The sequence below is a fragment of the Homo sapiens genome, chromosome 16 (assembly GCF_000001405.40).
Source record: "Homo sapiens chromosome 16, GRCh38.p14 Primary Assembly".
NCBI classification, from domain to species: Eukaryota; Metazoa; Chordata; class Mammalia; order Primates; family Hominidae; genus Homo; species Homo sapiens.
Genome location: NC_000016.10, coordinates 20,846,896 through 20,867,891, shown reverse-complemented (window position 1 = coordinate 20,867,891; position 20,996 = coordinate 20,846,896). Strand labels below are relative to the sequence as shown.

Sequence of the window (20,996 nt, the reverse complement as noted above, 5' to 3'; positions counted from 1 at the left end):
GGGTAGTGGTGTATTTGAGTAGGATCAGTGCTGTGGCAAGATAATCGGTTTTGGAACAAGCCCTGGGCCAGTGACTCAGTGCAGGGATAGGAAGTCCTGGCCAGCTGGGCCTGTGGAATCTGAGGCCTGGAGCCCATTGTTCAGATGGGGTAAGTTGGGGCTTCCAACAGGCTAACCAGATACTACTGAGCTACTACTACTACTGATACAGTAACAGCTGTCATATCAAGTGTTTTCTCTGAAGCCATGTACCTTTAATCTGCAGTTCCTCACTGAATCCTTTCAAGAGCTCTATCAGGCAGATATCATTTTGCAGATTGAGGAAATTCAGGCTTCCATTAGGGTCAAACAATTAGCCAGTGGCGCAGTTGGGCGTCCTTTTCAGAGCTGGAGCTTTTAACTGTGCTGGTGGACAAAAACGTCACACGTTTAGGGCATCTGGACTAATTCTCGTTTCCACGTCTGGTGGGGCTGAGCCTGGGTGCATGGTGCTTGCCTGGATCATGGCAGCGAGTAGGAGATCCTTCTTGAGCACCGAGCACAGACCATGTGTTCTCTCTCCAGTGGCTGATGGTGAGATTTGCTGCTCTGGGGTTGCTGTGGTGTCACTCCTGAACTTGGGGCCGGTCCGTCATGTGTTCTCTCTAGATGCTTTGCTGGGGGTGGGCTCAGCAATCTAGCCTAGGGGTAAATGTCATGGTATCTTGAGCCAGATGTGTGATCATGGGTAATTTACTTTCCTCAGCCTCAGTTTCCTTGTTTTTAAATGAGGCTGTGATGAGTATATGTGAGTTCATGTCCCCAAAAGTGCTTAGCATAGTGCCTGGCACCGTATCAAGTGCTCAATAATTGATGACTGCTATTATTAGCTGTTAGCCATCAGCTAGTGAGTCTACGGGAGACCTTCAACTTTAAAACACTTGAAGTGCTGCCAGCCTGGGCCATGGGGCTGGGCACTGTGATGGAGCCTGGGGAAAGCTCTGGGAGAGCAAAAGTATTTTCCCAGAGAAGGGGGTAGACACAGAAGAAGGTAGACCACTGGGCAGTAATCAGAGTAATCGGGGGACCATACTTACCAGATCTGGAGATATTTTCTTCTGGGTTTAGACCACCACTCGCCTCAACACTCAATGGAATGGGGGCATTTCAAAGAAAGAGACCAGAGTGGAAGAACGATCCAACCTTCTGGCATTTGCTGATTGATCATCTGTTGAAACTAATTTTCTTCTCCTTTTTTTCATCTGCTGGTCATGTTAAAAGCTTTCAGGTTTCAGCTGGTTCTGCTGTGTCAGGTAGTCAAAAGATACTCTTACATGGAGGGCTGGTTGGCTCAATGGGATTAGGGCCTCTTTGGGAGCCCCATCTGTTCTGTCCCTACCTGAAGGCCTTGGCGCCAGGATTTGGAGGAAGCTGCTAGGATGAAGCATCTGTCCAGTGGGGGCGGGGTGAGTGGCCTGGGGTAGGTGGGTCAGATGGAGGCCAGGAAATCCTCTTATCTCGCTGGGTGCCCATGCCTCACTCAGCAGCAGGAGCTGAGCAGTAAACCCTGGTGAGTCAGCGTGCCTGGGAATTAGAGTTGCCAGTCTGTGAGCATGTGGGGTTTGTGTAAGTTTGGGCCTTTTGTTTCTTTCAGCATTCTAGTCTTTAGGAACACAAATCTGGAAACCAGGCCCTCCACATGGTACAGTCCTTGTTTTGAGATAATTCAGCTCGCACAGTTGCTTCCCTTGTACCATGGTCTTCCAAGAATTAACCCCTTGCCATTTGAAATTGTAATGAGTTGTACTTATGGCTTACTAGCTGTAGTCTTAAAGCATAAAAAGTCTTTTAAAAAACTTACTTAGGATGGTTGTTTTCCATACCAAAAGCCCTTATAAGAGCTTCAGTGTATTTTTGAAGCCTAAGTAAAACTACAAGTCTTTGAGGGCATGTTTGGACATGTATTTTTGTCATTGCTCTCTTTGCGGGTGGAGAAGGGGACAGGCCTTGATATGACTAATCTCTAATAACTACAGGAATGATTGTGCTCTTCATTTTAAACTTACTGTATACTCAGAGCTTATCCTCAGAGAGAATTCCTCTTGAAGACGACCCCCAATTTATCCAGGCACTATTTGGAGGAAGCCAAGTATTTTAGGCAAAGTTTAAAGCTCCAGCCTTTCATAAAAAACACCTTCTGTCCCACTGCCGGTTTTCAAAGATCTTTTAGTTTGGATCATAGAGGTCCATGAAAGCTCCCTAGACCTGGGGAGGCCCGGGTGACTGACGTTGACTTCTGTTTAGTGTCTGTTTCCTGCTACACTTCTGGCTCCTGGTCCACACTTCATTAACAACGTAATTTCAGTGGCTGCCATTATTATAGCAGTTGGCAAAGTTTTATAAATACTAAATTGTACATGGATTTTCCAACAAACCAGTTGAAGGTAGGAATAAGAGTCCTAAGTAGCCAGAGTCATCTTAGAGAAATCACCTCGCTTCTGGCTCAGAAATGTCTAGCAATTTGTTTAAAAAACCACTTTTAAATTATATAAATAATTAATAAACCACCATGACGAGTTTGTTATGTATCAGTGCAAACTTTTCTTTTTCATCTAGCAATTATCCTACCATTTAAAGATTGTATTTGGGTAAATCTGTCCTTCTTTTGTTTTTCTATTTTTTTCCCACTTTTTTCAGTTTTTTCTTTTTTTCTGAATATCCTGAGCATTTTTATTTATTTATTTTTGGTAACTTTTTTTTTTTAGCTTTTATTTTAGGTTTGGGGGTACATGTCAAGGTTTGTTACACAGGTAAACATGTGTCATGGGGGTTTGTTGTACATATTATTTCATCACCCAGGTGTTAAGTCCAGAGCCCAGTAATTATCTTTTCTGCTCCTCTCCCTCCTACCACCCTCCACCCTCTACCCTCAAGTAGACCCCAGTTTCTGTTGTTTCCTTCTTTGTATTCATAAGTTCTCATCATTTAGCTCGCACTTTATAAGTGAGTATTTGGTTTTCTGTCCCTGCGTTAGTTTGCTGAGGATCATAGCCTCCAGCTCCATGTGTGTTCCCACAAAAGACATGATCTCGTTCTTTTTTATGGCTGCATAGCGTTCCGTGGTGTATATGGACCACATTTTCTTTATCTTATCTGTCACTGATGGGCATTTAGGTTGATTCCATGTCTTTGCTATTGTGAATAGTGCTGCAGTGAACATTCGCATGCGTGTGTCTTTGTGGCAGAATGGTTTTTATTCATCTGGGTATATGCCCAGTAATGGGATTGCTAGTTCGAATGTAGTTCTGCTTTTAGCTCTTTGAGGAATCACCATACTGCTTTCCACGGTGGTCGAAGTAATTTACACTCCCACCAGCCGTGTATAAGTGTTCCCTTTTCTCTACAACCTAACCATCTCCTGTTTTTTTTTTTGACTTTTTAGTAATAGCCATTCTGACTGGTGTGAGATGGTATCTCATTGTGGTTTTGATTTGCATTTCTCTAATGATCAGTGATATTGAGCTTTTTTTCATATGCTTGTTGGCCACATGTATGTCTTCTTTTGAGAAGTGTCTATTCATGTACTTTGCCCACTTTTTAATGGGGTTATTTGTTTTTCTCTTGTAAATTTAAGTTCCTTATAGATGCTGGATATTAGACCTTTGTCAGATGCATAGTTTGCATATTTCCTCTTCCATTCTGTAGGAATCTCTTGATAGTTTCATATTTGCTATCTCTCGATAGTTTCTTTTGCTGTGCAGAAGCTCTTAAGTTTAATTATTATGGATCCCACTTGTCAATTTTTGCTTTTGTTTTGATTGCTTTTGGTGTCTTTGTTATGAAATCTTTGCCTGGTTCTATGTCCAGGATGGTATTGCCTAGGTTGCCTTCTAAGGTTTTTATAGTTTGGGGTTTTACATTTAAGTCTTTAATCCATCTTGAGTTGATTTTTGTATATGGTGTAAGGAAGGGATCCAGCCTCAGTCTTCTGCATATGGCTAGCCGGTTATCCCAGCACCATTTATTGAATAGGGAGTCTTTTCCCCATTGCTTGTTTTTGTCAGCTTTGTTGAAGATCAGATGGTTGTAGATGTGTGGCCTTATTTTTGGGCTCTCCATTCTGTTCCATTGGTCTGTGTGCCTGTTTTTGTACCAGTGATTTTTTCAATTTTTTTACACAGGGTCTTTGTCACCCAGGTTGCAGTGGAGTGGTGCTATCCCAGCTCACTGCAGCCTTGACCTGGGCTCAGTTGATCCTCCCACCTGAGCCTCCCTTGTAGCTGGGAGTACAGGTGTGCATCACCACACCCAACTAATTTTTTTCTATTTTTCGTAGAGACAGGGTCTTGCTATGTCTCCCAGGCTAGTCACAAACTGCTGCACTCAAGCTATCTGCCCACCCACCTTGCCTCCCAAAATGTTGGGATTACAGATGTGAGCCACTGCAACCGGCCCCAGTCCTTCTTTTAAAGTGGAGACATGCTTCTTTGGAAGGCTCAGCCTATAGGCCCTATAGGACAATCACATTTATTGTGGACTTGGCTTGCATTCTAAGTACAGCCTTGCTGAGGACCTGGGGGAGAAGAAGCTCCTCAGTTGGGAAACTTGGTTTGGAGTATAGGCTTGGTGGATGGTTTCTATAGGTGGATGGAGTAGGGCAAAGCAAGGGCATTTCACCTACTGTGTGGGATAGGCCCAGAAAGGAATCTGGAGAGATCAGAGGCAAATTTCATTTTGCTGCTTGGCTTAGGCCCCTGCTTGTAGTCTTGACAACCTCATCATTAGGGCATTATGAGACTATTGTTCTGAATATGGCCACCCCTTCTCCCTACTCATCCTACTTAAAAAGAAAATCTGAGAATGTTGGCATTAGGAATTAGAAGATGAACCCTTCCTTTGTGCCTTCTGGCTTAACCCAGGTCCAAATAACTTTTCTTATGTGATGGCAAGTTGGCAAGACAGATTTCCTCTGGAATATTTCTGTCAGTCTTTGATGCATTCTACATATGAATCGGCCTCTTTGAAATCTATGTTACCTTAAGAATTTTAGGAATTTCCCTCATTGGTTCTCCATATGTGCCCCAGCCTCTGCGTCGCCAAGGTGAAGTTACGGAGCTGGCCTGTGAAGGGGATGATGAACTCAGGGTCTCTCCCATGGTTCGTTGTTGGCTCATGGAAATAGAGCGGTGAACCAGTGTGCACCCTAGAAGGTAGGGTCCATACCCCATTTCCCCCACCCAGAGGTGATGGCTTTCTAATTTCCTTCCAGGTTGGCTGGCTCCTCTGGCTGATGGCATGTTGAGGTACATGGGCCAGCGGCAGCGAGGGCATCCAATCCAGAGGGGTCCACTCTAGAGGCCAGGCCACCAGCACCATGGGCCAGTGTGTCACCAAGTGTAAGAATCCCTCATCGACCCTGGGCAGCAAAAATGGAGACCGTGAGCCCAGCAACAAGTCACATAGCAGGAGGGGTGCAGGCCACCGTGAGGAGCAGGTACCACCCTGTGGCAAGCCAGGTGGAGATATCCTCGTCAACGGGACCAAGAAGGCCGAGGCTGCCACTGAGGCCTGCCAGCTGCCAACGTCCTCGGGAGATGCTGGGAGGGAGTCCAAGTCCAATGCCGAGGAGTCTTCCTTGCAAAGATTGGAAGAACTGTTCAGGCGCTACAAGGATGAGCGGGAAGATGCAATTTTGGAGGAAGGCATGGAGCGCTTTTGCAATGACCTGTGTGTTGACCCCACAGAATTTCGAGTGCTGCTCTTGGCTTGGAAGTTCCAGGCTGCAACCATGTGCAAATTCACCAGGTTAGTCACAAACACTTTATGTCACCAGGTGAGCAGTGGAGGAAAGGGAACAGCATTGGGCAGTGGTGCCCAGCTAGGATAGGACTGGGTTGGCTTCATAGGGTTTTGGGTAAGTTTTTATTTTTCTGATCAGGTTCTCTAAAGCTTGAATCTTTTGAGCCAAGTTGTGGTTATGATGCTGAGAAGCCCCTCTGGACTCTAAGGGTTTAAAATATATCTCTCTGGCTCTGCAGCAGACCTACTGAATAGGAATCTCAGCAGGGAAGGCCCAGGCACTTGGATTTTGATAGAGATTCATGTCTGGTTCTAATGTGTACGCTATGGTTTTTTTTTTCTTTTTCTTTTTCTTTTTTTTTTTGCAGAATAACGCCTTTGCCTAATTCATAGGTCAAATTTCAGGCCTATCATAGCATTATTTGGCAGCTTCTGAGTAACTGGGCACTGCTCATCTTTGCCTTAAATGAGAAATAAGCCAGGGTGAGCCAGGTGGCCAAGTTGCTGCTCGGCCCCACTGCTGTCTTGGACCTTTCTTTTCTTTTACTCCTTTACATGTCAGTTCACTCACTTGATATTTATTGTATGCCCAGCATGTGCCAGGCACTGTGAGTACCAATATAGTAAGTGCCTCTGGGGAGGGGATACACCTCTCTCCCTCCATGAAGCCACTTGCACTGTGAGTACCAATATGGTAAGTGCCTCTGGGGAGGGGATACGCCTCTCTCCCTCCATGAAGCCACTTGCACTGTGAGTACCAATATGGTAAGTGCCTCTGGGGAGGGGATACGCCTCTCTCCCTCCATGAAGCCACTTGCACTGTGAGTACCAATATAGTAAGTGCCTCTGGGGAGGGGATACGCCTCTCTCCCTCCATGAAGCCACTTGCCCTTTCTGGTACTTAGCATGTTGCCCGCCCTCAGCCAGGCCTGTGTATAATAAGGTCAGTTGGCCTCAGTTACTAAGCAGTAGCTGTGCATATTGTTCTGGTCATATGTCCCTGTAGAATGTGGTTTGTAGAGCACGGGGTTGTGAATAAGAACTGACTGTGAGGCCTAGCCATACAATTTGTAGTTTGCATGCCCCCCACCCCAGGAAGGTTACCCTCCAGACCTCAGAGGCCTCACCTCTTCAGCAGATACTACAGTCCCTGAGAAGACGATCAATGCGAGACCATGCTGTAAGCTGAAAGGGTTGTATAGATGTTAAAAATACATACATAATTTTTGTTTTTTAATAATAGAATTTTGATCTCTGGTGGTAGAATTACTCAGGTTCAGAATCCTTGGCTCCAGAAGTCTCCCTTGGCAATCTCTAAAAATATACCCCAAACAAACAACCCATAGAGAATCAGAAGGGAAACAGGAAGCCTCCTCCTCTGGAAGGAGAAAGAATCCGCAGCTTAATCGCTATTGCAGAGCGGGAAACAGGGCAGGGAGCAGGAGACTTGAGTTTAGCTTTGGGAAGATGAATGAATGAATAAATGAACCATTATCAGCTGCCAACCGTGTGCCAGGCACTGTTAGAAGCAGAATAGTAATTTGTTTAGTCCTCACCAAAACCCTATGAAGTAAGGTGGTATTTTTACCATTTGACAAGTAAGGAAATAGGACTAATTAGTTGGAGGAGTTAGAATTCAAATTCAGACCATCTGGCCTGAAAGCCTTGCTCTTAATCACTATGTATATTGCCTGTAAATAGTATAGTTTATAATGATTAATTGTCCTTTTCCTTTCTGTTGCAGGAAGGAGTTTTTTGATGGCTGCAAAGCAATAAGTGCAGACAGCATTGACGGAATCTGTGCACGGTTCCCTAGCCTCTTAACAGAAGCCAAACAAGAGGATAAATTCAAGGATCTCTACCGGTTTACATTTCAGTTTGGCCTGGACTCTGAAGAAGGGCAGCGGTCACTGCATCGGGAAATAGCCATTGCCCTGTGGAAACTAGTCTTTACCCAGAACAATCCTCCGGTATTGGACCAATGGCTAAACTTCCTAACAGAGAACCCCTCGGGGATCAAGGGCATCTCCCGGGACACTTGGAACATGTTCCTTAACTTCACTCAGGTGATTGGCCCTGACCTCAGCAACTACAGTGAAGATGAGGCCTGGCCAAGTCTCTTTGACACCTTTGTGGAGTGGGAAATGGAGCGAAGGAAAAGAGAAGGGGAAGGGAGAGGTGCACTCAGCTCAGGGCCTGAGGGCTTGTGTCCCGAGGAGCAGACTTAGTGGCTCTGTCCCAGGAGCAGCAGCAAGGATCTGCCAGCTGCCCTGCAGCCAACTGAGGAATTGGACCATTTTGGAAATTACTGAAGATCCGGATATTTTCTACTTTACACCTTTCTCTGCCTTGTATCTGAAAGGGCTCTAAAATGCTGTATCATGTTTTAGGCACTTTCTTCATTTTTTTGGTTATTTTGGTTATTTCCTTTTTGGGGGGATCTCCCAGAATATTTGAACCTGGTTACATGTTGTGTATCTTTTTTTGAAGCCTTCAGATAGAATAAGCCTGCCATTTCTTGCACAAATTTAGGTTTTTTTTTTGTTTTTTTTTGTTTTTTTTTTTTTTTTTTTGGTAGGGGAGGGCATAGAGCAGGGCGGGGGGATGGGACTGTTAGGTTGAATTAACATTACAAAATGATACAGTGCCAGATCTCAGTTTCGCATATTGTTTTTCAGGGCAGGTCTGTACTGTGTGTAGTGCTGTTTACATAGATGAATTTAGGTTGTAATAATTATTTTTAAAGATTTACACAGATTTGAATAGCAGTGTTAACTGTTAACCACATTGCATTAATTCCCAGGCGATTTAGAGCTCTTGGAGAGCCAAGGCCAGCCAAGAGCATTTGTAGTCTGGTGACAACCCCCTTTTAAGCTAATTTATCCAGAACCCTGATTTCCCTCACTTCTTGCTCATTCCTTCTTTGACCTATTGCATTTCATGTTGAGTTTTTCCATCAACATGCTGCACCTGTCAGTCAAGTGAGCATTTTTTAAGAACACATTGTACTGAGAACCACTTAAGCATTGAATGCGGAGAAAGCAGTGCTACCTCAGTTTTGCTGGAAGTAGACTTCTTTGATAGTTTTCTTTCTTTGATGAAGTTTCTGTATTTTCATGTTGTAAGTGGAAATACTTTTTTTTGTTTGTTTGTTTCATTTGCCTTGGAGCCAAAGTTTCTGTTCCTGGTGGTCGGGAAACTGCCTGCCGGCCAACTGACTTGAAGGAAAACTGTGGTATGGAGCTCTGCTTGAATTTTTTTTTTTTTAATATTTTTATTTTTTTCTTTGAATATCATCAGCTTACTTGTCTGGCAAGGGCAGAAGCCTGGGGTTGGCCTGAACTCTGCCAAACAAATATCAAAGTGTATTTAATAGTTAAATTTGTGCCCTTTCCCTTCTTGCTGCACCCATGTTGTCACTTAACCCCCAGGAGTTATTTATTATCTTTTTGTTAAAGTCAGGCTCATTTGGGGTAATGTGATGACTGTTTAGGTTTACATGACCCTCCTCTCCTTTCCCTACCCCCAAATATGTATATATACATATATAAAATATGTATATATTTTACCTATATAAAATATATATATATACACATATATGTATCTATATTCCTTTGTTTCTTTGCCTGCTTATACTGGCCATAAAAGAGGGAGCTGCCTTCAATGTATAAAGTATAAGAAGAGTGCCAGGGAATGCCATAATGGAGGCTTTTGGATCTGAATTTGGACCATTTCACTAAAGAGAACATGAGTTTGCTCAGCCCTTTCCTCACAAGAGGGAGGGCCCCGGTTCCCCAGACTTCTCCACGCGCTGGCTCCATAAAGGCCAGCTTTGGCCAGGCTGCCACAGGGGCCTGAGGAGCTCACTCTGGGCCTACCTGGTTTCAGTTAGAGGGTCCTCCTGTTATTTTTCCATTTAAAAAGTATGTCCTCAGAAAACTGTACTGGAAGGATGGGTGGCAGGAACTTGTATAGTTCAGCTTCCAACACTTTGGAACAGATTAAAAAGGGAATCTTTTAAATAAAAACGTATAAAAATATTTATACTCTTGAGGTAATGAGACTTTGTCTGTTAAACATTTGGAGGTTTCTCCCTTAACCTAATACCCCGCTGCGTCCCAGGTATGTTTCTCAGCCTGGGCAGGAATTGCATGTTTTGAGTTCCATTGTGAGCAGCCTTACAGCTCTGGGCTCCCATCTTAAGGATTATTAAAGAGTTTTGGCAGTTGGTATTTTTCTAAAACTGATATTGACCATAGGGAACATACTTGGAATTTGTTTTTTTTTTTAAATCCTAAACCTGACAGTTCCTCCTTCAGAGGGGCAAATGGGAAACTTTAAGATCACCCACGGTATAGTACTGCTAGAAAGCTGAAGGGGGTCTTGGGCCAGATGCCTGGCTTCTGTTCTAGCTAAATAAGACTCTTGAATAAGTCTCCAGGGGTCCCAGCAGGTTCTGTGGGATCAGTTGTAGCTGGGTACCCAGACTGAGGTTTTAAAAAGACTGCTTTTTCATTAAGCCAGTTTGCAACTCATTTTCCCCGGTTCTGGATTGGGTAGTGGTTGACTGAGGGAAAAGCCAGGCTGCTCTTGGCCAGATAAGGCCCTTTCCATCCCAGATCAGAGTGTATCAGAGAAAGCTGCACAAAAGAGGCAGGCAGCCCAGGACCCTGAGTACTCTGGAGAAACTAGGTTCCTTCCCCACCCTTTAAGAAGACATTCCGTGCATTAGATGTACTAGAGTGGATGTATTTTGTTGTTTTTTAAATTAACTATTTAGCCTCCTCATCCCCCACCAAAAAAGCCATTTAGTTATTTTTTGGTTATATTGATCCATTTGCAAATGAGAAGCCAGAAAAGGGAGCAGTCAGGGAGGGACTTACAAGTTCCTTTCAAGTTTGAGTACTTGATGCTCAGCAAAGATTTCAAGCTTCTGCAGTAGCTCTGGGCCAATGCTTGACTCTTTCATGACCACAAGAAATGCAGTTTTTCTGCAAAGGGATCCAAGGTGAGGTGTGTGTAGGGTTTGAAGTTATACTTCTGGGAAGTGAAAAGTCTTGTTCCTTTCAACCTAGAAATAGGTTTGCCACTTAATGAGTGAGCAGTAAGTCTGTGTAAGAGGCTGAATGCATGCCCCTCAGATAAGCCAGTACACTCCTTGCTTAGCAACAGAACATCAGGGTGATGTGGAGAGGGGCAGGATGTGGACGCCACTTTGGAAATCGGCAACATCTGAGGGCAACAACAAACAAGTGTGTTGGGAAATAAGAAATAACTCAGTTTTGACAACTGGCTTTGTCAGCTTTTGTGATGTTTCTTTAGCAGTTTATTGGAAAGATGGTATGAGATGACGTGCTGCTTCATTGAATTGCTCTTTCCCCCATCTTTGCCAAATCTCAATGTATCGTTCTTAACCCCACCTCCTGTAAGGGGCTTTGCTATGCTTCAGCTGGTTGTCTCAGCAGCTGAAGTGCTGCCCACCTGTGTGAGTTGGGTCCAGGAAACCATGTCTGCCCTTCTGATAAGGGAAGATGAATCTAGAGCTGGGTGAAGATCTAAATTTTAACCAAACCCCTGGGCCCAGGAAAATAACAATTGAAAATGTACAAGGCAGTGTTTTCAATATTAAACTTCCCCAAGGAAAGCACAAACTAGTCTTTTTGGAAAGGGAGAAAGGATTAAGCCACACAGTATTAGTCTTTGAAGCAGTACTGGTCTCTAGGGGCTGGTGCCAAAATGGAGTCCCATAGTAGTTACACTCGATGGCCTCATGTACTATATACTGTGCCAAATTGTATTAAACAGTGGTGGGGAGTTACTGGGATAAGAACTTGTCTAAAAGTTTACAAACCAAAACAGATCTGTTAGGTTGGTGCAAAAGTAAGTTTTTGCCATACTTAATGTATTGCCATTAAGTATGGCAAAAACCACAATTACTTTTACACCAACCTATGTATTTAAGAATGTTTGGTTTGCCAGATTCCAAATGAGGTCTTCAGTGCAGCAAAGCCCAAAAGGTGTAGACTCAGTTATGCAATTATAAGGTTAAGGCGTAGAAGAAAGCTGCTGCTAGGTTTTTGTTGCATTTTACTTGACTGCTCTGCTGTTTTTCTTGTCTCTCATGTTTGGTTAGCTATGACTTGAGCATCTTGGTAACTGACAAAGGTCTTCCTTGGGGGACTTGAACATCTTGGTAAATGACAGGTCTTCTTGGAGGACTCCAGCAGTATCTTGTTTAAACGACTGAAAGGACTATTAAGGTTGTTGAATTGTGTTAATTGGGACTCATTGAGGAAATGCGACATTGATCCTCCTCTTATTCCACAGTGTGTTTTCTGATCATATAAAGAAGGTTCCGAACCATCCATCCCCCTCAGAGTTTATTCCCCTGGTAAGCTGTAATTGCATATCCAGTTTAAACTGGACTGGGACTGCATGTTGGTGAGGATCGGCAGGGGTTTTCCCCCTTTTCGAAAGATGAAATAGATTCTTGAGCACTGGTTGCAGAAGCCAAAATAGTTCAAATAGCTTTGCATAACCATTGGGTTCTGCTTCTGATTCAGGTGCTGGGCATCATGTCCTCCCTATTCTTCTCTTCTTGGAAACCCAGCCTATCTCATAAATACCTACTTCCGCCACCCATCCAACCTCCCTGCTCCTTTCAACACAAATCTTGGATATTGCCAAAGGAAGCCATTCAGCAGCTGCTGGGGTTTTTCATCCCCCTGACATGCATACATTTGCTCTGGGAGAAGTGTCTTCCCTCTGACCCTGGTCCCCAGCTCCGTCTGTGCTTAATTGCTCTTACCTGTTGCACTAATGAATATGACTAGGTTTTAAAGGGGGAATGTGAAGCAATAGGCACATGGGGCTTGGATGAATTGGTCCCACAGATATACCCTGCCTTAAGCCGCTGAGGTGATGAGTCCACTGCTCATGTGACCCTCCACCTTTGTGGATCCCTCTTGGTTTGTGACCAGTGTGTCTGTTTGTTGAGGTTGTACAAACTTGACAAAAGTTAATACTTTTGTTTGTATTTTCTGCACTGTTGCACTCTCCAAATGGCCCCTTGAGTATTTTTATTGACTTGTTACACACATTTTTGTCTTTGATGTCTACATTTTTTCCTTTAATGTTTTTTATTTGGAAGGTTACCTGCTGTTGGATTTAATAAATTTGTTTACTTGAATATTGATATTTCTACAAAAAAAAAAAAACAGTGACTTTATTCTGGGGCAAAATTTACCCACTGGGAGCTTCTACCAACATGATATTGAGTAACAATTTTTATTCTTTGAAAAACAATCCAGATAAGTACAGGATCCTCAGACTCCAAACATGGGTGTTGACCTCCCACATACCAAGCTTAGTAGGGTGGCTTTTGGGGGTCTCAGTGCTTAGAGGCAAAGAGCAAATAAGTCTTCACAGGGCCACTGCCTAAATAGTCTTACCTTTGCAACTGATGTGAATTCTCATGAGGAATAAAAAGTGAAGTTGAGCAGTATGTTAAATGCATGACCCCTAGATTTAACAGTATGGCAGTGCATTAAGGCAAAGGAAACAAGCTGTATCTGGCTTTAACTGTCAAATGCCACTGCTATGTGACCTTCGGCAAGTTAGTGAACCTCTAAGTTTCCTTTTACTCATCTGCAAAATTAAAAGACTCTTGGTTCCATCAGAGTGCTAGGATTTAAAAGTCTTGATAAAGTCCCAATGACACATAAGTGCTCAAACATTACAAGCTCTTTTAAGGTTCTCCAAAGGAATGCTAGGTGAGTAATGCAGGGAAACCAGAGAATAAGAGAGGGGGTTGGCATGGTCATACATGACCTTTCACAAGTCACAGCCCCTCTTAGGGGCTTAATTTCCCTCTGTGCCAAATTGGGGATGGGGGAAGAAGCTCAGACTAACGTGATCCCTGGGATTCCCATCTGCCTCTTAACACTCTAGATGTATGATGATTAGACCACTTACGACCCTTAGCTTCCTTCCATTGTATTTTCTGTCTAGTTATTGTTTACATTCAGGAAAGCTCTTGACTGGCCATCTTACACATTTCTTTCATGGAGACCCTGATGGCCTCCCCAAAGATTCCCAGCCTCATGTTGGTATCTTGTAAAAATAAGTAAGTATGGTGGTGGGAGTAGGTGTACTTTTTCTTTTCTGTTGCAAAGGCTCTGGAAGTCATGTCTACATTCTCTGATTAGGGAGAGGTTTCTGAGATTTCCTCAATGAACTGCAACTCTTTTTCTCTTCCTCATTACTAAGGACAGGACCAGGTGGGGGCAGGAAGGAAATCTTAAGGGATGATGTTTTCCTCACTTAAAAAGTATGCCTCTAAAACATTCCCCAGTTGGCTCTTTTGGGCTTGTTTCTTCTGTGCTTTGGCACTTCTGAGTTATGGAGCCCAGCCAGAGCCTTACAAATAGGTTTGGGGAATAAAGTGGAAGGATACTGATTTGGGGGCTTGTATAGAGCCTGGGCTATTCAAAGTGCTGTCACAGGCTGTATAGATTATATACAGCTAAAATCTAATTTTCAATTAGATGATGGACAAACAACTTCACTTAGTTACCAGATGAGCTTAACTGCACGTGGAATGCTTTCTAGCAAGAAAGGTGCACTGAAGGTAGTGCTGAGGATCTGAGGAGTACGGAAGAGTTGCAACACTGGCTTCTTCCCTCCTTTCAAATCAGTTGCTGAAGCACATGGCTGGATTGGCTCTGGAAGTCATCCTTCTAGCTCTGAGTTTTGACGTAGGTCAAAAAGGGTTAGTCTGCCTGATAAGATTAGGGAGCTTGCCTAACCTCTCCATTTCCTTTCCTTTACGTTGACTTGTGAGGATGCCCTGTCTTAAAAACATAAGGCTCCTACCTGAGTTTAACATTCTTCTGTTCAGTGTTCTGACCCTTGTCCCGTCTCTTGACTCAGGGGTGCTGAAAAAGTCCTGGTGGAATGTAGCAGCACCAGTGCAGTCAGCAGCGAAGCATCTTAACTCTACAGTGTTCTGTAATCCATGCTGATGGAGACTCTCCATGGGCCCTGTGTTTATCTGGGGTGATGCTGCTAAAACTGCTAGTACATCATAGAGCTACACAATAGTGTGGTACTACTACATGACAAGACAGAAGAAAACATGAATACTGGCCCTAGTATACACATGGACTTAAATGATAAAGGAGCATCCTCCTTTATTGGGTAAGTAAAGCTAGATAATTGGGTAAAATTATCTAAATATTTGGGAGAAAGTTATTACATGCCAAGATAAATTCCAAGAAAAATAAGGCTATGAAGTATAGACATTAAATCATTAGAAATATATAAACTTGTCATTGGATCCAGAGATCAGTCAGGGCTTTCTAAGCATAAAAGCAAATAGAGGAAATCACAAAAGACTAAACATAAAATGATATACCTTAAAAAGCAAACTAAAATTTTGTAATAGTTTGTAAATGGACACTATATATAGTGAATCCATAAGGCGCTCTTAAAAATTCAGTATGGAAAAGGATCTGGCTTCCCAATAGAAAAATGGCAAAGGATATGAACAACTCACTTAGGAAAAATAATTTACCAAAAAGCTTCTGGGAAAAAAAGCAGGATGCCAATCTAAAGGGTATTCAAATAAGCAGACATTAAATATACAATGAAAAATTTTAAATGGCAAAAATTTGAAAGAAATCTATGCTAGTAAACAGTAAAATCCTTTCTGGAGTTAAAAGCATGTGTTCGTACTCTTTAACCCAATAATTTCACTTAGGCACTTTTCCTAAAAGAAATATCTCCCAAGGATGTATGTGCAAGGATATCACTGGCAGCATCATTTGGGAACAACTTCCAAGGTCAACAAAAGGGACTGTTTTAGAAATTATGGCATACATCAATGCTAGAATATTACACAGCTATTAAAACTCTGCTTTTGAATAATAGAATTTCTATCATCATGGAAAAAGTTGATCGATTATAAAATATTGGCAGTCATTGACTGTTGATGGTGGGATCAGTTGTGATTTAAATTTTTCTGTATTTTTCAAATTTTCATTAATAGGTTTCCTTTTAATAGGGAAGAGGTTATTTACAAAAAGGGGGGCAAAAAGAAATGAACAACCCCCCCTATGGTCAAGGAGACCAGAAAATGGGAGTAATGTGTTCAAAGCCTAAACCATGAGTTCTGTAAAAGCCCTTGGAGTTGCTTTTCCCCCATAAGAAGCTGCTTCTCCAGCAGCTGCCTTGGCAGCTCTGCGCTGGCTGCCTAGAAGGGTGTGGGAGGAAAAATGCACAAACGCACTTATGAATGGAATGTGTGTTTTGCAAGAGGCCAAGTTGGCAGCTTTGGCTTCCAAAAGGTGGAGCATCAGGCTAAAGAACAGAGTGTGCAGACTGAAGTCTCAGAGGCCTTGTAGTGCAGGCCCATCTCTGCAGAGTTCTGGAGTTGGATCCCTGGGGAAACCTCCACCCCTACCCTTTTTCCTAAGAAAAAGATGGCCTTGGCTATTCTTGAGAGCAAGTGGAGTGCTCTTGGTACAGGGAGATGATCCCTAGTAAAATAGTATGTCATTTATTCAGCACTCAATCTTGACTTTTCCTAGTTTAATCCTCATAACCTTATGAAGTACTAATTTCCCCTATTTTAAAGGTGAGGAAACAGGCCCAGAGAGGGAAATTAATTCACACATAGTGCATTACTGTGTTATTTTCCACAAATGTCTCAATAATCAAAATAGTTATTTCCTTATTTTATACAGCTGTGGAAATAGCCTCAAATGAGGTTAAGTGACTTGCCCCAAAATACTCAGGTGTGTGTGGGAGGTGAAGCTCCAACCCAGGCCTCTTCATATCCGAGGCAGACACTTAATTTATCTCTCAGGACTTGAGCCTCAAGAGGTAAACAGCAGCTAAGCTCTCACAGCTTTGGAGCTCAGCTGGGCAGGAAGGAACCCAACAACACTGTCAGTTTCAAGTTGTTCTCAGGGCCTTGCAGCGGAAGTTGGCAATTCACCTAGGGAACTTTCCTCCTGATGAAGGGACTTGAATCAAGTTGCGGTGTCTGATCCCAAGTCAAGCTCTTCAGTTCTGGTTCCACATAGGGCCAGATCTTACAGAAGCTACATTTAAACTTTCATATAGGACCAGATCTTATGAAGCTACATTTATAAGATTAAACACTGCTCCAACTGCCCAACCCTAAGAGTTAATTTTAAGTAGAATTATCTTTCTCTTCTTTTCTTCTCCTGACAGCAGGTGGTAAGAATTATTTTCCAATTATAAAAGCAATATATGTTGAATGTTAAAAAAAATCGAGTCTACAACAGAAAAGCATTTGTTAAAACCTGATTTGTCAATGGCACTAGCCATAGATAAATACTATTAACGTTTTGGCATATAGCCTTGCAGGTTTTGTTAGAAGCCTATGTATAGCTTTGTATATTTTCTCCTACAAAAGTGTACTCAAACTACATGCTATTCTGTATCCCTCCAGACTTCATACAACAAATAATATACAGTACTGTGAATGTATAATCTCACTAATCTGTAATCCTCTCGGATACATACCATTATTATCCCAAGCACAGAAATGTTAAGCAATTTATTCAAGTTCACACAATAATTTAAAAAGCTGGGATTCAAAGTCAAGCATTCTGGATCCAGAGGTCTACTGCCTCTTCTTGAAGATCTCTTTCACCGAAGATTTTATTTACTCTCTCTCACACACACATTAGAACTGGCTACCTAGAACTCCATTGTAATAACCCTCTGATAGCTCCTTCATTACATGTTTTTGTGTAGCTATCCTAGTATCCTAGGATAATGCTGTAGAATTGCAGGGTCTCAGTGTACAGAGCAATTTACGAGGTTTTTGGGTATGATACATACTGTATGCCAGATTCATCTTTTCTGGAGGGCAGTTAATATTTCTAGTAGTTTTGGAATTGGGTGCCTATGCCCCATGTCCTTTCCAACACAGATTGTTATCAGTTTGAGAGTTGATTAAAACGGCTTTTACTGAATTTCAAGTTTCCAGTTCCTAGAGGGAGAGATGGTGTGATGGAGGCACCTACTGGTGAAGGGTGGCACTGCAGTCATGTTCTGAAGGGAAGGAGGATTCCTAAACGTGGAATGGAAGGGGTTTCCAGGGCTGGTTAAAAAAACTAAAAGAATCTTCCACTCCACTGCCTGGTGGACTTGCCAGATTTCTCAGTTCAGCTATCATTGTCCTTCAATTTTTTAAGAGTTGTCAATAAGAAAACAGTTTAAAGAAATTTGCTTCACAGACATTACAACTTTGACAAATTGCATAATCGGCTGGTTTTCTGAGTAATCACTCCTCTTGGTTTCCTTAGCAGTATATACCACGTAATAGGGGTGCTACATGGAATGAGCACCTTGTACCGCACCTATGCACATAAACTCAATGACACAAAGAAACAATCTGTGGACATCCCCATACTATGCTTGAACTTTAGGCATTTATTGAAAACTTATACATGCCATATAAACAAACTAAACTCTTTTAGCTGCTATACCAAGTTTCCATAAAGCTGTCTGCTGGTTGGGGAGGCTACAGCCTGACCACATTCTTTGCCATTGCCTACAAGGGGTAAGAAATGGCACATGGAAACATGGCAGGCCGACTCACGAACACAGGCCTGGGCCAGCGCTTTCTTCTTCCTCTTTTATTCCCATCAGTCCTAGACCAGAGAGTGAACCATGAGTGCTGCAATAAATAAGAAACAAAGGTATGTTTTTATCCATAAGGTTGAATGAATGGTTATAAATGCCTAGTTAGAGGAGATATTTTTCCAAGTATGTGTGTGTGCCATGGGGCAAGGGCAGGAAGGTTTATGGAAAGCTGCCTGCTGAAGATGGTTTAATGGAAAAAGCACTGATGAGTCTCAGAGGTCTAGATTCAAATCCTACCTTTACCAATTAAGAGATATGAGGCATATCTATAAAACTATGAAATATTTAAATTACTATCTCACAGGGATTTGGTGAAGACTATCGACAATAGCAAACATACACTGAGCACTTACTACATGCCAAGAGTTGTTCTAAGCACTTGTCTCATTTAATCCTCAAAACTGCTCACTGATGTAGGTACAAGTGTTATCCTCATTTAAAAAATAAAAAAGCTCATAGACATTATATGACTTGCTGAAGTCACACAACTGTTAAGTGACAGAACCAGGATATCAATAATAGCAATCTGTCATTAGATCCCTTATAAGTTGCTGTTAAAGAGTCTTAGTCTTTGTTCATTCCATACTTTTGTAGCACCTGCTAGGTGCCAGAGGCTGTTTAAAAAAGTTACAAAACATTAACTTATTTAACAATGTTTGTTGTAAAAAACCTGGTGTGGTGCTTGGAATTTAGGAGCCTTCAATACTTGTTAGTTCCCTGCCACCTTGTAATGAATATTCATGGAACTGGGTCAGCGTTGAGGAGCTCTCTGAGGCAAAGCAGGTAGAAATGAGCAAAGACAAACACAGAATCTGTCTCCACCTGATGTATGAACTTAAACATGCAAACACTAGACTTTTGTGTATGGAGAACTAGAGCTTTGAGGGCAGGAGAGTTGCTCTGGAGTCAGACACACCATCAGGGTACAAGTCCTGACTATGCACTTACTAGCTATGTGACCCTAGGAAAATTGGTTAATCTGAGACTTTTTCTCCACTTGTTCAGTAAAGATTCTGACAACCTCAACCAAAAATGCATATAGAAGCATTTAGCACAGTACCTGGGTTTAATACATTACTGTTGTTTTCAATATTAATTTAAGAAGCTACCAAAAATGTAAGGATTAAGAGCTGCATCAAGACCCCAGCCTAAGGAAACCTTCTATTGTTTTTGCTATTCCTTTTTTCCCCAACGTTTCCCAAGAGTATCTGCTGCCATCACGGACACAACTGCACAAACAAGGCCCAGAGAAGTCAGTCACACAGCAAGCTTCCACAGCCTGGGGAAATGCATGCTACTGCTGCTGAGTTTGATCAATATGTCTACAGAAATCAGAATGTGACTTTTAAAGGATAGGAGTAGTTCAGGTTTCTTCACCACAGGATTTGCTGCTTCCAGGGGGTGCTTAATTCTACTGACTTGTCAAACTTAGGACCTTTGTCTCAGTCACAACTTAAGTGTTTTTGCTCCCTGACCCCAGCACTTCCTCCTCTGGCTTCACCCTCTGTGGAACATCCAGGAAGAACAATGATTTGGGCTACTCTTGACTTAGTTTACCTAAACAATGGTGGACTGTAATCTAAGTATTCTACGTGAGAACATGAAAACCCAGTCCACCTACCACCATACACTGCCCCTGAGGAGCAAGTCTGTCTGTTCCCCAGAGCCCACATCTTAACCAAAAAGCTTTTACTGGCAACTTGTGGTCACTTTTTAACCTGTTCCTGTTAGCTTACCCACAAGCCTGTTTAAAGTATGTTGGTCTAAGATTTTTTTTCCCCTCAATGTAAGCACCTAATACTTGTTTCTGCTTTTCAGAGAAAGCGGTTCTTTCAAAGGTGCCCAGTAGGTAGACCATCTCCCTAATGGTCCTCAGATGCATGTTATAAGAACTTTATGCTAGGAAATGAATTTCTTCTGATCCACCTTCAAGGCCAGAGGTATTCATGCTCTGTCAACTCCTAGAATGTAAGAATCTTTTTTTTTTTTTTTTTTTGAGATAAGAGTCTTACTCTGTAGCCCAGGCTGGAGTGCAGTGGTGCAATCTCAGCTCACTGCAACCTCTGCCCCCTGGGTTCAAGTGATTCTCGTGCCTCAGCCTCCCAAGTAGTTGGGACCACAGGCACACAACACCAAACCTGGCTGGGTTTTTTTTTTTTGTTTTTTTTTTTGTGTGTGTGTTTTTGGTAGAGACAGGGTCTTGTCATGTTGCCTAGTCTGGTCTTGAACTCCTGAGCTCAAGTGCTCCGCTCACCTTGGCCTTCTAAAGTGCTAGGATTATAGGCATGAGCCACTGCGCCTAACCAGATGTCAGAATCTCAAGGGACTTTTAAAAATTAACACAACCCAAGGTTTTCACACTGTTCAAAAAAGCCACCATCTTTCCCTCCCTTCCCCAATATACACTCATTCATTTAGCTGCCCACTCACTCATTCCAAAACTGCCCATCTTTATGCTTTAAGATTTAATATCAGTTTTTCTTTAAAGAAAGGGTTTACAGTTAAAAGGGTTTGAAAATCAACTGATTTATTCCAAA

The 20,996-nt window shown here is 42.5% G+C and overlaps 2 protein-coding genes across 11 annotated transcripts in view, besides 3 other annotated features; one reads left to right on the top strand and one right to left on the bottom strand.

Moving 5' to 3' along the window:
• DCUN1D3 (defective in cullin neddylation 1 domain containing 3) overlaps positions 1-12,967 on the top strand; it is a 45,434-nt gene extending 32,467 nt beyond the window's left edge. Inside the window, exons 2-3 of the mRNA NM_173475.4 lie at positions 5,249-5,784; positions 7,523-12,967. Coding sequence (NP_775746.1) covers positions 5,354-5,784; positions 7,523-8,006 — 915 coding nt within the window. The 5' untranslated portion in view covers positions 5,249-5,353 and the 3' untranslated portion in view covers positions 8,007-12,967. The remainder of the gene's footprint in view (positions 1-5,248; positions 5,785-7,522) is intronic.
• Positions 492-992: an enhancer, noted in NCBI's record as "H3K27ac hESC enhancer chr16:20878222-20878722 (GRCh37/hg19 assembly coordinates)". NCBI's record gives its function as "activates a minimal SCP1, AML or CMV promoter by ChIP-STARR-seq in primed H9 embryonic stem cells {active_cell/tissue: H9 hESC(primed)}" and the evidence as "EXISTENCE:reporter gene assay evidence [ECO:0000049][PMID:30033119]".
• Positions 1,100-2,299: an enhancer, noted in NCBI's record as "MED14-independent group 3 enhancer chr16:20876915-20878114 (GRCh37/hg19 assembly coordinates)". NCBI's record gives its function as "activates an origin of replication core promoter dependent on BRD2, BRD4, P300/CBP and CDK7 cofactors, and independent of MED14, by STARR-seq in HCT116 cells {active_cell/tissue: HCT116}" and the evidence as "EXISTENCE:reporter gene assay evidence [ECO:0000049][PMID:35650434]".
• Positions 1,758-2,127: an enhancer, noted in NCBI's record as "active region_10542". NCBI's record gives its function as "activates an Ori minimal core promoter by ATAC-STARR-seq in GM12878 lymphoblastoid cells {active_cell/tissue: GM12878}" and the evidence as "EXISTENCE:reporter gene assay evidence [ECO:0000049][PMID:35858748]".
• Positions 12,968-18,226: 5,259 nt separating the features above from the next.
• The window catches only part of REXO5 (RNA exonuclease 5), a 43,241-nt gene continuing 40,471 nt past the window's right edge, over positions 18,227-20,996 (bottom strand). For all 10 annotated transcript variants that reach the window (XM_011545963.3, NM_001199053.2, XM_047434726.1 and 7 more), the window contains one exon: positions 18,227-18,493. In XM_011545963.3, the coding sequence (XP_011544265.1) occupies positions 18,412-18,493 (82 nt within the window). In that variant the 3' untranslated portion in view covers positions 18,227-18,411. The remainder of the gene's footprint in view (positions 18,494-20,996) is intronic.